Raw genomic sequence first — 17,898 nt, forward strand, 5'->3', positions numbered from 1 at the left:
CATAGTAGACTCTCAATAAATATTTCCTTTCTTTTTGGAGTAATGAAGGTTGGGAAATTAAAGGCTCTGAAGCAACTTTACGTCCAATTCATGTTCCTACCTTCAAGAAGAAAATATCAAAGATAACTTTCATTATAGAATCTACTATAACTTTGCTTAGACTGTTGCCCCATACTTAGTGACCCTACTCAGAAAAAGAGAACAAATCCTGTGTTTATTTTATTCTCTTTGGAAATGAAAGTGTTTATTTATTTTGTCTCATGAAGATAGTCAAAAAGGCCATTATATAATTAAATAGAATGTTTTTCCCTAGTGATAATTTTGTATATATTTTTGTATTTTTAAGGTTTTAATCATAAAGAAAAAGTTGTAATGGATTTCAGCTTACCTGTACATAGAAAGTTAGCACTGAATGTTGGCAAATAATAGGTGTTGAGAAAAGGGGATCTACACTTTAAAATGATACCAGCTGTAGTGGTGATTAAGCCATTATGAAGTGTCAGAACTGGAAGTCACTTCTGAGCCTTAGCTGATCTTTCTTTAAAATGCATACTGATAAAAACTTTTACTTTTATTAACATATTAATAATATAAAAGCATTGTCTTGCTATTCTTTTTAAATGTCATGAATTTCATATATGTAATACTGAATTGTATTACTTACATAATACTCATTAAATGTTTTCTATAAATTTATGGTGCCATTTTTAAAATAGCATCTAAAATAAAAGAATGGGTCTTTTCATTTACACAATTATTTCTCCATCATTTTTCTTTCCAATAGCTTTAGATAGCATATACATAGTAGTTATGGACACTTGCTTATTAGAACTATGAAATGAAGTAAGTGAAAGTGTTTAGTTATAGGTAACATTAAATGGCAAAAAGAGGAAACAGGTATAAATTGAAAGCACTGGATCTAAACTAAAAAATGAGGTCTAGTTTCTTCACTGTTACAGATCTGGGCAAGTTTCTTGACCAATAAAGCACGACAGTCAGCACCTGTACTGCTACTCTCACAACTAAAACAGAACAAAAAAAAAATATATATATATATATAAACTGTGAAGACTGCTAAAGATACAAATGAAACAGAAACGTAAATTCTATTCTTTTAGCTTACATTATCACAGAACAATCAATTCGCCCGTGAAACAGTAAGAGGCAGTATACGATTATGTTCTCAATTACGGCTACGGCTGAAATGTGCTACTTCACTGGTGAATAAATTTACATAGTACGTGCTTACTCATGTATTTAATTAAGACAGTTACTTAGAAATAAATACCATACAAATCTTTTACAACAGTACCTTTCTACTTTTATGCTTCTTTTAAAATTGATATTTTGCTAGTGGCTTAATATGACAAAAGATGACTGTTTATTAGCACTTATTCTGATACAAGCTTGCCCAGTTCTTTACATCATTTTCTTCATTTTTATAATAGTACTAAAGAAAGGTAGTATTATTTAAGTTTATAGATAGGGAACTGAGATTCAAATTCAGAGTTGCTCAGATAATGAGAAAGAGTTTGGATATTGGATCCCAGGTCTTTTTGCTTCAAAGCTTGTGTTCTTACTGACTTGTGTTCGTACTGTCCAGGTGAACAGATTCAGTGATGCATACAGTACAGCCATATCCTAGGGATTTTCACTGTTTCTTCTCAGATAGTGTTATGGCTGAAATAAATTATTTGTCATTTCCCATACATAATTTGTACTTGCTCATCCCCATACTTGTGTTTTTACGTCCTTTCCTCTTAGAGTCTTTTCTCCTGTCTTATTGATTTGCTACCCACCTCCCTTCCTCTTTAAAACATTGTTTTTAAAGGCTGCATAATACTCTGTTGTACTAATATTCTATAATTTTTTTAACTGTTTTTCTTTTGGGAGGAAATTTTATTCCCAACCATTTAATACTTTAATATTTCAGAGAATACCCTTGGGACGTGTAAATTTTAATGCAAATTTATTTTTTTAGGAAAAAATTCCTGTAAGGGAATTTTGGGATAGAAAAGTATGTGTTGTTTTAAGGTTGAACCAAATCGTACACTCCAAGAGATAGTATCAAATTAAGAAAAATTTACTAATTACATTCCATCATCAATCTGGGGATGTGACTATATCTTTGCATTTTTGCTTAAAAAATATTATTGTCAATTTCATAGGCAAAAGTGTGGTTGGTAATTAAAGTTATATGTTGGGATCATGGTTATGTATAGGAGAAGCACTTGTATTTGCAGATTTTCTACTTAGGGTGTCCTTTACGTATTCATTTGTTTTGTCTTACATTTTTCAGTCATCTTTTAGTTTGTTCTTTTTACTTCTTTCTATTGAAATATTGTTTTAAAATGTATTCCTATTAAATAATACTGGCAGATTTTAAAAGTCAATTATATATGTGGCACATCTTAAGTATAGCATGTGAGGCCTTATCTTTTGATGTCTTACTGTGGTAGTTAGGGATTTTAGTGCTGTCTTGTCTCACTTTAACCTTTTTCACCTTCCTGCATCCTCCCAATATATTTTATCACAATTTTGGATTATATACACATTAGTGTTGTATTATTTTTGACTGTATATTGTTTACTGTTTAGCTAAGTAATATACTGTGATTATATTTGCCTTCCTGTTCTATGCTATTATTGATTTCTTTTCTACCATCTTCCTGTTTATTAGCATCTGGGTTTAGCTGTCACTTAGGTTCATCGGAGACAGAGTTTGTGTTTCTGGCTCCTGCTTTTCTTGTTTTGGTGTGGTTTTCTGGAAGAGAAGGGTAGTTGCAGAAAGCTAGATATTCTGCCGTCACAGAAACAGAAGTGTCTTGCCTGTATTTAAGACCCGATTTAGATGCCACATCTCCATGAACTCTTTTGCAGCACCTGTGTTACTGAGCAATATATTATGCTTGATTTTGCCATGTTATAAAATATATTTCCTCCTAGTAGGAAAAAGAATGTCTTTAAAGATAGGACTATTATTTGTCTTTGAAACTACCAGAGCTTCCCAGTACAGTACCATGCACTTAGTACATATTTGAGATGTACTAATTTAACAATTAACTACCACTTAAAATTTTTTTGGTAATGTTTTAGTGATTCTGGTAAGGCAGATACATTTTATGCGGGTTCGAGGGGGAATAAAAATGTGTGTTTGCGTAGAAGAAGGGGGAGGGGAAACAATGAGTTTTCCAGGATTATGGAACTAGTAGTGGTTTCTAGGCCATATTTCATTTTCCTGATCTTCCCTGCTAATGTCTTGTGCTAGAAACTATGCTGTTTATATCTCATCATCTCTCCTCAGGTATAGCAAACAAAAGGGAAAGGAAAGAACTCATCACAATTATAGGGCAGCAGCAGGAGGGTGGCAGAAGACTTCTGACTCATTAAAAGTGGCTTCCAGCCAGAATTCTCAGAAGTTTTTGTAGATGTTTTTGACTCATATAGGGAAATAAAATATCCAGCTGTGTTCAGCCTGACAATGAAGTTGGGGTCTATTTGTGCTATGTGTCACCTCCATTACATTAAGCACATAGTTTATGATTGTAAATATTTGAAATTTATATTCAGAGATAAATACGGATGCACTGAAGCTGGGGGAAGGAAATGAAGAATGAATGGGGTTAAGAGTTGGGCTTTATTGGGTGTAGGTAGTATGGTAGGGGGATTTTATTGAGGAATACTTCAGATTTCCTAGCTGTTAGATGGAGAGTAGCACCATAGTGCTGAGAAGCGGGTGCCCAACTCCAGGGGAATGTTGAATGGAAGGGCACAGGGTCAGGTACAGGGACTGGAAATAAAGATAAACAAGTTATGGGTAAGTAGACCAACGCAGTAAGAGTAGATTAAATCACCCCGAGGAAAAATCCGATAGAGCAAACTCAGTACTGTGAGAGGCAATCTCTTGTTAAAAAACGTCACTTTGATCTCATAGGATTACTGAAACCATATCTTTGCATGTCATTTTGAGGTTTTATAATGAATATTATATAAAACAGTTATATTTATGAGTAAACTTGGTTAATTTTTTCAGCTTTGCTTCAAACACTGGCTACAAATGATGAACCTCATAGACTTTTTTGATGGAGATGTTAAAAAGGCTTTCAAGATAGCATTCAGACTGGCATTGGGCATACTGTTGGGCCTGTTACCACCAGCAGTTAAAGCTTGCAGGGCTTCTAAACAGAAGCATGGCATGCAGTCAGCTGGAGTCTTGATTTCATAACAATTTTACAGATTGGGACAAGATTTTTGAGGTAAAGGTTTCAAAAAATAATAAGTTACTCCTTTGCCTGACCAACATCATACGGTCTATTTCAGGAGATGTTTGAACTCCAGAGCTCCCAAATCCAATCTTACAGGGATGTTTATTTATATTTCAAACAGGCTTTTCCTTAAATAATGGTTAGCAGTGTCCTTTCTTAAAGATTCGAAGACAATACAAAAGTAAAAATATTAGCGTAATCCAAGTCAAGTGCAGTTAATGTAAGATTACTCTATTTTTAATTGTTCTGTATATCTTCAAGATGTATGGATAGATATTAAATATTTTAACAAAATCTGTACATTTCTCACAAAATCAGTGAAAAAGTGGGTCAAATGCATTACCTTTGTTAGCTTTAACAATCTGACATTTTAAAAGCTTCAAATCCAGTACATCTGAATTGTTAAGTTCTGAGGGTACTTCTTAGCCCTGACCTTAATTCCTCTGTGTATTTGACTTTCTTCCTCTGTGTATTTGACTTTCTTCTATGACCTCCAAAATATTCTACCCTGGTTTTTTTCCGTCTATCATTTCTTCTCTGTGTCTATGCCTCTTCCATAGCCCTATACCTAAATGTTGGTATTACTGAGGTCTATCCTCAAGCCACTTTTTTCCTTTTCTGGTACAGCTCTCATTAGGAAATGTAGTTGTTCTTCTGAGCTACAAATCGCAGAACCATTTGCAACCTCTCCTCACTCAATGGTTTCCTCTTCCTTACTTCCTATAGTGAGTTAGTTTAGTTCAGTGAACATTTGAGTCTGGCTTAAATCTCTCTTCAAGCCAGTCCTTTCTTAACCTCACTGTCACTGCCTTTGGTCAGGTTGTGATCATTCCTTTTCTTGGCACTTTTGGTCAGCAAACATTAATTGAGAATCCACTCTATTATGCTGGGCATTAAGGATACAAAAATGATTTAAGCTTACATAGAAATAAGGGTGTTAGGCAAACAAGTATAAGCAATTATGTTACTTGACAATGGAAATTTGCTCTCATGTTAAATATTTTGTAAGACACATAGTAATGCATTAGAAATGTAGACAATTTTGCATTATGAAAAGCAAGCCTCAGAATCTAGTGTGAGGCTGAATATTGCAAAGAGCCAGCACAAGACAGGCAGCAGTACCACATGGAGGGATACCTTTATGTTACTATTAGTTCTCCCTGTGTCATAGCATGTTGCCTTGTTTCAGCGTTTGTGTCACTCTCTTCTCTCCAGTGTTTCATAATCATTACTGGAAAGCCACCAAGAGTGCAGGACTGGATTGTGTACACACTTTCTATTTCTGTGAAGTTGTTTGTATGGAATATTCCTTAATGGAATCATTATATTAGACATTTGTATAAGAAGTCAAATGGGGCAGAGTTGCTAATCCATTGTGAGGTAGGTCAGGGAGGACTTCATGAAAGTGATCTACTTGAGCGGGGACTTGAAACCAATGGGACATAACAAGGAGGTTGTATGAAAGCACTAAACCACATGTTGTAACTGTAAGTAATTTCTTAGCTCTGGGGTAGAATAGACAAAAGCGGCTTCAATAGAAGAAATGAAGCCAGAGGGGTAAATGAAGCTAGAAAGATCATGAAGGATTTTGTGTGCTAAGCTAAGGAACATGGACAGTTCAGAGCTACTGAAGGAGTTTAATCAGAGGAGTGACACAGTCAGATTTATGTTTTAGAAAGAAGTTCCTGGCATCCCGGAATCCTAACTTCAGCGAACCCTGCCCTGCTTTCTGTATACTCTATCACCAGAGTCAGCTTGGTGAAACACAGGCTGATCTTGTAAATCTCAGCTCAACACTTAAGAACAGATGCCTAAGTCCGATTTCTATCGTTACTTTGCTGTCTCCTCTATCTTGAACATTTTTGCATCAGACACCCACATAGCTCACTTCATTTTACTCATGTCTGTCCTGAAACATCACATCAGAGAGACCTTCCTAGGCTGTCCAAACCAGCATCACGTCTGTCACCCCTTAGTTTCTTACCTTGCTTTATTTTTCTTCTTAGCACTCACCGCCCTAAAAGTTATATGTTTATTTGTTTATTTCTCCATCCTCCACCTAGGATGTAAGCTCCATGACAACAGGAGCTTTTGTATATTTTGTTTACCTGTAAGTGTTCTGTGCTGGGCACTTGATAGGTGTTCAGCATTTGTTGAAAGAATGTGGCCCCAACCATCCTTCTTCTTTTCTCTCTTTCACCCTGTGCCTCTCCCTTCATGTGGGGGAATTCTTACAGTTCACTAATCCTTAGTTATGCCTCTTCATGAAATCCTGTCCCTCACTCAAGATCCATCTCAGATACCACCTTTTCTGTAAAATCTTTTTTCAAGCAGTTGCTGCTTCTGCTTAGCTCCCATAACACTTTTTGAATAGTTAGGAGAAAAGTGTTTACCTGGGCTGTACAGGATGTGATGGATATAAATAAATACTTGTCAGCAAGTTATTAATTAACCAGTAGAGAATTACACAATGAGGTAGACAAGCATTATAGGTAAAGTTTGAAATTCAGTTGGTTAAGTGGAGAAGTGAAGTAATTAGGTGTGACTTGAAATTTGTTTATAAATGCAATATGATTAGGGGAAAATAGCTAGGGGAACCATCACCAATTTCTATTATATACACAGTTGTACAGACAACCTGGAGAAGGTATCTGTTGATACATACATAAACACACACACACACACACACACACACACACATCATTTTACCGATGTATTACCTTTTTTGTAGAAGTATTTACTTTTCATCTTCTTTCTGCCTAAAGTATTACTTCTCCACATACATCACTGAAAAGAAATTATCTAGAAATGTTTTGATTGGGTCATATTAATAGCACTATGCCCAGGCCAATTTCTACTTTACAAAAGCTGATATAATTCCATTTGAATTGTCAAAAATGTCTTTGTTGTAAGAAAACGCTAGATAATTACTCTTCTGGCTAACAGGAAGGTATAGAGGTATAAGGTATAAATTACTTTAGTTTCCCAGTTCAGCGTGGGTATCTGATGATTTTTAAATTCACTTTAAGTGATTAATGTCTGCTGTGAAATCCTGGCTGGGGTCTTTGTGTGAAGTTATTCAACTTTTCTTTTCTGAACTCATGTTCCTCTTTGACCCATAAGTGTCTTTATTCTCAGGTGAAAATCATGCTAAATTGTTTAGGGTTCCGTTGAACTTTCTAATTGAGACACAAGCTACGAAAGCTAATAATTAAGTATAATTATTGTCTACATGTAAAAGCAAAAGTTGCTGGTAATCACCATTAACCTCTAATATTTGCCAACAAGAAATGTAAATAGCAAAAGTCAAATTTATTCTTCTTTTAATATTTGAGGACCACATTAGATGGCTGGAGGACCATCTGCAGGTGTCAGAGGGGCTTTGGGACATTATCTCTAATGAGTTGAAAGTAAATAAATACAGAAAGCTGGTGATATGAAGATAAATACTTTATTTAGGGTTGTCCTTGTTTATTGACAACGTCAATGATGCTGAGATGCTTCCTGTGGAAGATAGCAAAGGAAGTATGATTTTCATATAATTTATCACAAATTTCTCTTTTTAATTTTCCACCAAACAATGGCTAATGCATTTGAGAGGGGAAAAAAATCCCAGTAGATCTGTTAATTGGGAATCACTGTGCTACAAATGCTTGAAGTATAAGCAAACATTTTCCTATGATGAGTTCATAAGCTTTTTAATGAAATATTCGGAAGAATTTAACCCATTCCCTGTTTTTCTTAAGATGTGAAAGGAAGATTTTAGAAAGACTTACGTAAACTTTAAGTAGACTTTAAAAGTTTGTTGTGTTAGAGAAATATTTGAGGAGATGTTATAATGCAATAGAAATTTTTGCTTTATATTTTTTAAAGGATTTTTTATGGTATTTTGTTTGTTTTTCAGAGTAAAGCCAATCCCAGCTGAAGGAATCAAGTCAAATCCTTCCAAGCGGCATAGAGACCGACTTAATACAGAGTTGGACCGTTTGGCTAGCCTGCTGCCTTTCCCACAAGATGTTATTAATAAGTTGGACAAACTTTCAGTTCTTAGGCTCAGCGTCAGTTACCTGAGAGCCAAGAGCTTCTTTGATGGTAAGACAGAAGGGTTTAATTTGTCTACAATAACGTATAAAAAATACTTGTACTAGATATAGCTGTTTCTGTGTTAATAACTACAAAAATTAGCCGTATTTGGAAAATTTATTGCTGTATAGTAAAATTTCAGTGGCAAAGCCAGATTTATAAGTCTTAAAATCAATTTTCCAGTTTTATTCACCCAACAGATGCAGCCACTGAAATGATGCATGGTATCATTCTTTGAAAATCATATATTTAGAAGTTACACTCAAATTGATTATGTCAAATTCCAGTTTCCCTTCTACTTCAATATTTAAAAGTCTTTTTTAAAAAAAAAGAAAAGATAAAACACCATCTTGCTGGATTTTCTGTGTTTTCATAGACATGTCATTTTATTTATCCCTCCAAACTTACGTATATTTCTAATCTTTTTTTTTTTTTTTGAGGCAGACTTTTGCTCTTGTTGCCCAGGCTCGAGTGCAATGACACGATCTTGGCTCACTGCAACCTCTGACTCCCGGGTTCAAGCGATTCTCCTGCTTCAGCCTCCCAAGTAGCTGGGATTATAGGCGCCCACCACCACGCCCAGCTAATTTTTTGTATTTTTATTAGAGATGGGGTTTCACTATATTGGCCAGGCTGCTCTCAAACTCCTGACCTCAGGTGATCTGCCCGTCTCAGCCTCCCAAAGTGCTGGGATTACAGGCATGAGCCACTGCGCCTGGCCTATTTCTAATATTTTACATTAATTGTATACCGACTGCAAGAAATATAATTAAAACATGTTTTTCACTAGAAAGAACATTTGATTGTAAGAGTCAATAGAATTTGATTTCATTCTCTATTGTGTCACTGAAAACTGTTTGTCATTAACCAAACCAGGTAGCATCCCCGTATCTCAGTTTTCTCAGCAGTAAAGGTTGGGGTTTTGAGCTAGGCAGCTGGATGATATTTGTTACCTTTAAATTGCAATGGAAGTTTTTGTTTGCAAATGATGTTTCAGTGTATTTTCTCATGTAAAATTAATTTTTGATTTATCTTTTATCTGTCTATAAGGCAGAAATAGATTTTTTAAGGAAATGGTCTTTTTAAAATATCATATAATTTTACTAACCATAGCAAGTTAATGATAAAATCTCAGTGGGCTATGTCAGTCAATGCTTCTCATACATTAATGTGCTTACAAATCACATAGGGATCTTGTTAAGATGCAGATTCTTGTTCAGTAGCTTTAGGTGTGTCCCTAGATTTTGCATGTCTAACAAGCTCCGAGATGATGCTGATCCTGCTGGTCTAGGTCACTAGGAAGTGCCTAGACAACACGTTTATGGATATTTGACTGGTAATTTGTGTTTAGAATATTGCAACAGTTAATTTCCCTTTAGATTTATGTTTACATAATCTGATGTGTTTCGTCTGAGCATCTTTTTATTGATTTGCTTGCTTGCTCTCCCGTCTTTCTTTTGGACAAAAGCTATTTAGTTTAACAGTTGTGGTCTGGGCAATATACAGATTTGAGGATAGTGATTTCAGGAAAGATTATATATTTCAAAGTTTCATAGTACACAAATTTTCTCTGACCTATATAAAAAGTGTTTGAATTTTCAGTTGCCTCTATACCAAACCCTTCATCTTGGGAGAAGAGTTACGCAGTATTCAGTGATGGTCTGTAAGTATGTGTGTATTAGCTATAGTCATTTAGCTGACATAGTTGGAACTAGAACTCAGGTTTCTAGATTCCTTATATTGTTTTTCCTGACCAAATAATACCTACTTTTTTCTGGGAACCTTCGCATAGGAAAGCACTGAGGATTTTTTCCTAGACCTGTGGTTCTTAAAAGTGTAGTATCCAGACAGGCAGCATCAGCATCACCTGGGAACTTGCTAGAAATGCAAATTATTGGGTCCAACCCTAGACCTGTGGAATCTAAGGTGGTGGGACCTTTGGTGATAGGGCTAGATGCATATTGAAGTTTAGGAGCCACTGCTGTAGATTGTAACTTCAGGCCTCCTCCCAGCGTCACGGAATGCTGTCCTGATCCCTAGCATTTACTCACATGCTGTGCTTAGTGCTTGACCATGTGGTGGCAGATTCTGTGATGTGTAAGACGTGGTTGCCACCCTTAGAGATTCTGGAGTCTAGAAGCCAAGGAGGCATTATTCTCTGACTCTGATAAAGCTTTATTGACTTGAGTCATTTTACCTTTCCATTTCTTGTTCCTTTGTAATGGGGAATCAAATTATATATGTTAAAAAGAAAAAAAAAGTATAGGTTTTTCCTCTGTTTAGAAGTAGTACATATGTGTGTATCTAGACAGATACATATAAATGTGTGTGAAACACACATATATAAACAGATATATTTCTATATTTAATGTCTACATTATGTGTGTATGTGTGTTCATGTATGTATACACACAGACACATACATGATTAGATAAGTGTCCTATTATTCAGTGCTTCAAGTAAAGGAGATCTCACAGTCTATCTTATAAAGCATGTCATAGTTTAACACAGGGTTCATCACGGAATTGTTAAAAACTTTTTTCTCAGCTCTTCATTAATGAGTTTGTCTGTTTTTTATTCTGGTTCAGTGTATTTGACAGTAGGATCTTATTACCTATTTGCATGATTCCTTCATCAACTACATTATCATTATCTTTAACGTTAGATTCTTTTCAAACTGCATTGTGCATAAGAATTACCTAGAAAGCTTTTTAAAATGCAAATTTGGAGGCATGCCCCTGCTGATAACAAGGAAGTTCTGTGTAAAACCCAAGAATCAGTATTTTAACAAGCATGTTACGGAGTCTGAGGCAGTGATTTAGCCTAGCCTTGATTATGCCCTGAACAAGTTAATTTTTGTTTCTTTGCCTTCAGAATGACAAATGCAAACATACAAAATTTAAAGAAGTCTATGAATATTTTTGCTTGTGTTATAGTGGTGTACATTCAGCCTAAGCAGTTTCTTAGATTGTTTGATACAGAAACATACAGTTAGATGGAAAATGAAAATAATAAGGTTTTTTTTTTAATCCCCAAATTTCCTCCAGACTACCAGTGGTCTGGAAAGGCAATGCAACATTTCAGAGCACACAGAGAATGAAATTATAAGGGTGACCCTTATGAACTGAAAAAATGGTAGATGCAAACGAAGAGATTTGAAACATGCTAACAATGATTAGGATTTTTGTGTGCAGTTGGACCCACTCTTCCACTATTAGGGAAACAGTATAGCGAAGCGAAGGGAAGCTCAAAGTGAATAACAGGATGCAAACAGGGGGTGTGTAAATTCCTGCGGAAAGAACAATATAAACGAGTAATCATACAATCTTGTTAGAAAGGAAACTCAAGTTTTACTGTAACAATAGATATTTTTCCAAGAAAATACATCTATTTATTGCAAGTTTAAATAATCCAACTTGGATGGATCTTCTTAAAGTTTGGAACCATGACTATACTGCTGCTGCTGTCTGAAAAGCAACACTATAAAGTTTTAAGTACTACATTAATATTTATCCATTTCTAATTAATTAAAACATATTGAAATATAACTTTAAAATACTTGAACAAGGCTTAGCAATTTTTCAGTTATAAAGTCGAAAATAGTTTCTTTGACATGATTTAAGCATTACATTTAAATATATTATCTCTGAGATGGAGGGTATTTTAAAAATTTAAATAACAATGGTTACAATCAATAATAGTTTATTAATAGAGACTAGGATTTGGGTGGTTACAATCTAATCTTTGAAACTGGTTGATGTGAAGAGAAAGGATTGTTTCCTCCTATATCATGTCTCTCAAAATTGTTAAACAGTGTACACTGGGCTTGTTGATCAATCTAATCAGCATTGTAATGTTTCATTCCTAATTTCAGCATATCTTTAATACAATTTTTAATGAGATTTCCTTACTATTTTTTGAAATGCCCATTATTATGTAAATATTTTGTTCAAATTATTCTGTTTTTATACAGCTGCCCCAAAATTGAGAATTCGGGAATGACTACTTTTGTTTTCTGTTTACATACAAACACCTAATGAGCCTGACAAAATGGAGCTTAGGGATCCGAGTTTCTGATTTCAAAGTCTTGCATTTGCAGCTGTCATAGGGAATAGTAGTATTCTAGTTATTTTTAAAACAAGGTAATGTTAGGGAAAATCTAAGTCTTGAATCATTATACATGCTTAAAATAATCACCATTTTATAAAATGTAGAATTATTTACATGTTAAAATATTTTCATTCATTAAGCCTAAAAATGCTGTGGGAAGAGAGGATAATAGTTATATTATGTGATGATCTAACATTTATTTGACCCCATTGTTTATCATGGATCTTTCTTGACTTTATTTTAAATTAAAAATTACAAGTGCTCTGTTCTTGGTCTTCCTTTTGCAGATGCTTTAACAGTTCATTCCCAGTTCATTAGGTTTTCCAAAGAGAGCTATTGTGTTTATTCATCTTCAGCTTGTGCATTTCTCTGAATTTCAGTTGTTTTGGTATCTCTCTAGATCAGAACATTATTCTTGAAAAACAAGTATACGTACATGTGTATATGCAAAGAACAAGCTTGAACAAGCAGTAAAAATGAAGTAATGCACTTCTAAGTGTTGATGTTTTATAAAATCTAATAGATTTGTATGTCTGCTTTTTCATTCATGAGAATTCTATAATTTCATCTGCTTTGTTGTAATTTTAAAATTTCTGTGTGTCAAGTAATTTACCAAAGTTTCAGTATGATAGTATCATAGCAAATGTTATTTCTTAATTCTAGGACTATCCAAAGTAGGTTTGTTTGCATAACAGTTTAGCACATTTGAAATCACCAAATAAAGTATTTGTTGAATTTGATTTACCCATGGCATTATCCATCTTAAATGGTGATTTAACTGTTATCTTTTTTCCTAATTCACATTTTAAAACATGAAACTCTAATTACAATATTCATGATAACTTTCATAGCTAAAACTATATAAACCTAGGTTCTTTTAAAATTTTAATTTATGGAACCCCTGCAGATTTAAACATGAATAAATACAAAGAATAGTAGCGCATTCTTATTGAATGAATATACAAATCCTGGCTCTCATATTTAATATTGTGACCTCTTTGGTTCAGGAATTTAATCTCTCTTTTCCTCAGATATCCCAATTTACAGTATAAGATTTATTAGATTATATGAATAAATTAATATGATAGAACTTTATATAGGATACTTTTATCTCTGCTTTTGTTTGCTTTGACAACTATTTTGAAGAACACAGTGACAAATATCTGAGATTCAAACAATCTAAACTCATTGTATCATATATTATGTATTTTGCTGCTTTCCTGTCTCTTTTAAATTTACTGATTTAATGGATTTCTCTTTGATCATTACCTAGTCTTGCATGGTTCTAGAATCCTTGCTTATTTGGCCATGAACAGGTCATTAGTCATCATTTTTTTTCTTTTTAGGGAGACTACCGTGGGCTAACATTAAAATCACCAACTTTCAGCAATTTTCCTTTTTTAGAAAATTTTCAAATACAGACATTTAAAAATCTGTAGTTAAGTCTTAAGATATTTCGTGAGGGTTTGTGATCTGGTTAATGGAAATGTACACCTTCATGTTATAGTGTTTTATAAAACATATTCATATATAATATTAATTATATTAAAATCTGAAGAAATTTTTATTTGGTAATATTTGTATATTATTTTTAAATCTTGCTCTTACAGCCTTTTGACTTTTCAATCAATGAATTTTAATGAGTAACTCAAATTCGTTTATTTGCTTATGGCTGGAGATTTAGATTTTAGAGTCATTTTATCGTCAGAATAACATTTTAAGCCATTAAAGTGAATAAAATATTCCAGGGGGAGAACATGTAGAATAAGAGGAAAAGTACCAAAGATAAGATGTTTTAAGGATGAGCAGGGGTAGTAAAAAGTGAAATCTGTGGAGTATGAAAGTATGCTAAGGTGATAGAGTTGACTTAAGATACTTTCATTTGATGTGTTCTTAAATTGGAGAGCCAGAGAGAAAACTGTACATGAAAGTGAAAACTGAAATGAAATGAAAGTGTAAACTGAAATGAAATGAAAGTGTAAACTGAAATGCAATGAAAGTGTGTACAGAAAAATAATAACACTAGAGAAGGTGATTTCTGTTCCTTGTTTGTCCATAGAGGCCAAAAAGCCATTCAGTTGTTAGCAGTGGGAGATTAAGAGGGAGACAAATGTCTGGGCTCTGTGGCTCATGCCTGTAATCCCAGCATTTTGAGAAGCCAAAGCAGGAGGACTGCTTGAAAGCAGGAGTTCGAGACCAGCCAGGACAACGTAGTGAGACCTCGTCTCCATACAAAATAAAAAATTAGCTGGGCTTGGTGGTGTACTTCTGTATCCCAGTTATTCGTGACACTGAGGTGGGAAGATATCTTGAGCCCAGGATGTCAAGGCTGCATTGAGCCATGATCGTGCCACTGAACTTCAGGAGTGAGACTGTTTCACACACACACAAAAGACGGAGACAAGTAGTCTGATGGGATTGGTTGACATAAAGAACCTTAATGAATTGTACCTACTGAATTCTTCATGTATTTTCTAGCCTGAAATTTTCTCATACAATTGTCATATTTACAGAGCATTCTGTTGTCAGCTGGATTTTTTTTTATCGTGTCTAATTTCTGTGTTATGGAGACATTTCATCTCTTTATCTCAGCATGGTAGAGGGAGGTTGTGTTTTGTGATTAAAGCACTGACAGCAGGAGCTGTGGATGCTAGTTCAGTTAACGAATCTTGTGTTTTTTGATAGACTTTAACCTCACTGTTCCACAGGGTCTTCATCTTCTCAGCATGTTTGATAAAGATGCTTGCTTGCCCTGATATATTAGGTTTGTAGTAAATTCTAAAAATGAGAGATCTGTGAAAAATTTTTATAATTAAAATTGTTACTGTTATGGAAATCATAGTTATTTCCTGCAGAATCCTGATATTTCACTTGTTTTAGTGGAGAATTTTGTTTTTTTTTTTTTTTTTGAATATGCATAAGGGCCTTTACGGACCTGGTATTAATATCAATTGAGAATCCCTTTGTTTAATTAATTTCATATTTTTTATTTAGAGATGGAAATTTGTTAATAAACTGTTTTTCCCCTTTTGATATAATACATAATAATTTACTTACATATACTGTTTTCTTTTATCGAAAGTGGCACATATTCCAAATCTGGACACTTGGAAAAGTGTGATAGCTTGCTTTGGTGAGGATAGAAATTTTGGGCATTGTATGCTACTTGCTTTATTGGGATACATGTCAAATTTTCTGTTATTGCGCTATGTCTTAAGATAGGTGCTTCAGCTTTTGTGTTTGTAAAATTGTTATTATTTCCCGAAGAAGTTCACAATAATAACTGTGCTGAACAGCATGGAATGATAATTTTAAGAAGTATGAGGGAATTCAATCCAGAACATACGTGAGTTATTTCCTAAATCCTGAGGTTCTAAGTCTCTGTTTCTCAAAGAATGGCACCTCATTCTCAGCATCACTGGGGAACTTGTTACCTATGCAAACTGTAAAGCCCTATCCTAGACCTACTGAATCAGAAATTCTAGAGGTGTGGCTAAGCATTGTATTTTAAGCCTTCCAGGTGATTCTAATGTCTGTGAAAGCTTAAGGATCACTGCCCTCATTGAGTATTTACATTATGTTACTTAAAATGCAATTTAAATACTACTCTTGTATATATGAAAAGCTAAGTGCAACTCATTCCCCACTGAAAAGGTCAATTAACTGCTCTTGTTCCATTAATGCAGAGATTTGTCATATAGTTATAGAGGAATTGTATAAAACTGAGTGCGTACCAATGAGTAACTGGAAGAATGTTAAACATCTTTGGAAGTCAGTTTTTATGTAAGAGTTTGGATAGAACAAACTTTTAAGGACTACCCTGCCAAAGTAGTAAAGGGGATGGTAAATATTATGAAATTAATTGAATTTATAGCAGCAGTTAGGGACTAAAAGGGGATATGCTTTCCCTGGCAAGATCATCTTTCTGTTTAAATGCAAACTATAGTAACAAAATACAAAATATAGTTTACCACTATTCGGTATTCCTCATGAATTTTTTTTTCCTTGACCAATTCAAAGCATGTGATATGAAGAGATGTGGCATTTAGGGAGTAGGGGAAATCTGAGCTTAGATGTCTAAGGAAGGAAAGTACCGTATTAGGAAACATGGATATGGTTAAATGCATGTGGGAATAAAACTTGAGTCATCTGTGGTATGACCATTTGATAATGCTGTGATGTATTTGCACTCTAAATTCCATCATTTGTTAGATTAAATTCTTATTTGTATTGTACGACTCCTTCATAGATCTTTCAATGAGGAAATAGTGGAAATATTTTGGTGGTTTACTATCTTAACATTCTACTGAATGTTCAGAGTCTGATTCTCACACTTTGGAAAGTGGTACATATCCTCACTGATGGGGAAGATTTTAACAAATGCCCATTACGGTACAGCAGATACTTCCCAGCTGGTGACCTATTTTCAGATACTACATTTTGTTTCTGTGGACTGTCATAAATTTAATTCCAGTGGTGTAATATTTAAAGTGTCGTTATGCATATAATTTATGTAACAATTTACAGTTTTGAAGTATAGTTGACCCTTGAACAATGCATTAATAACATGAACAGCCGATTAATGTGTCTTTTGTATATGTATTATATACTGTATTCTTAAAGTAGGCCAGAGAAAAGAAAATGTTATTAAGAAAATCATAAGGAAGAGAAAATATATTTACTGTTCATTAAGTGGAGTGGATCATCATACAGGTCTTCATCCTCATTGTCTTCATGTTGAGTAGGCTGAGGAAGGGTTGGTCTTGCTGGCTTGGGAGTGGCAGAGGCATGTAAGTGGACTTGCATAGTTCAAACCCATGTTGTTCAAGGGTCAGCTGTACTTTCAAATGTGTCATATAGTTACCATAGTAATCCTATTAGATACTAATTACTGCTTTCCACTTAAAGATGATAAAAATACTCAGTTACCTCCTTAGGGGCACTTTAATTGTAAGTTTCTCATCATGGTTTGAGGGTGTATAAAGTCAGCATAGACTTCGTTACCTCTGTCCTTGATTGTCAGTGATTGATTCCAGGCATTACCCTGGTATTGTACATGTTATTTTAATCCTCACAAGAATTTGTCTCAAGAGGTAGCATTGTCCTCATTTAAAGATGAGGAAACTAAAGGTCAAAGGTAGTTAGCAAAGTGGGCGGTGGCTAATAATAGCTCACACACTGAGGTCTGGCTACCTGAGTTTTTGTCTAAGCTCTGCCACTTAAATCTCTATGACTCTGAACATTTTCTCAATCTCCTTAAGTCTCACCTTTCTAATATATTGAAATAACAGTGTCAGTCTCATAGAACTATTATGAAGATTAAATAGGATATAATACGTGGAAAGTGCTAGGTGTACAGTGTGTGCCCAATATCACATATGAGTACTAAGTAAGGTCACTCCAATGGTAGGAAGCAGCTCTTGTGACAGTGTCTCATGTCA

At 34.4% G+C, this 17,898-nt stretch overlaps 1 protein-coding gene across 1 annotated transcript in view; it reads left to right on the forward strand.

Moving 5' to 3' along the window:
* AHR (aryl hydrocarbon receptor) overlaps positions 1–17,898 on the forward strand; it is a 47,496-nt gene that overhangs the window by 3,116 nt on the left and 26,482 nt on the right. The window contains exon 2 of the mRNA NM_001621.5: positions 8,169–8,356. Coding sequence (NP_001612.1) covers positions 8,169–8,356 — 188 coding nt within the window. The remainder of the gene's footprint in view (positions 1–8,168; positions 8,357–17,898) is intronic.

The sequence above is a fragment of the Homo sapiens genome, chromosome 7 (assembly GCF_000001405.40).
Source record: "Homo sapiens chromosome 7, GRCh38.p14 Primary Assembly".
Classification (NCBI taxonomy): Eukaryota; Metazoa; Chordata; class Mammalia; order Primates; family Hominidae; genus Homo; species Homo sapiens.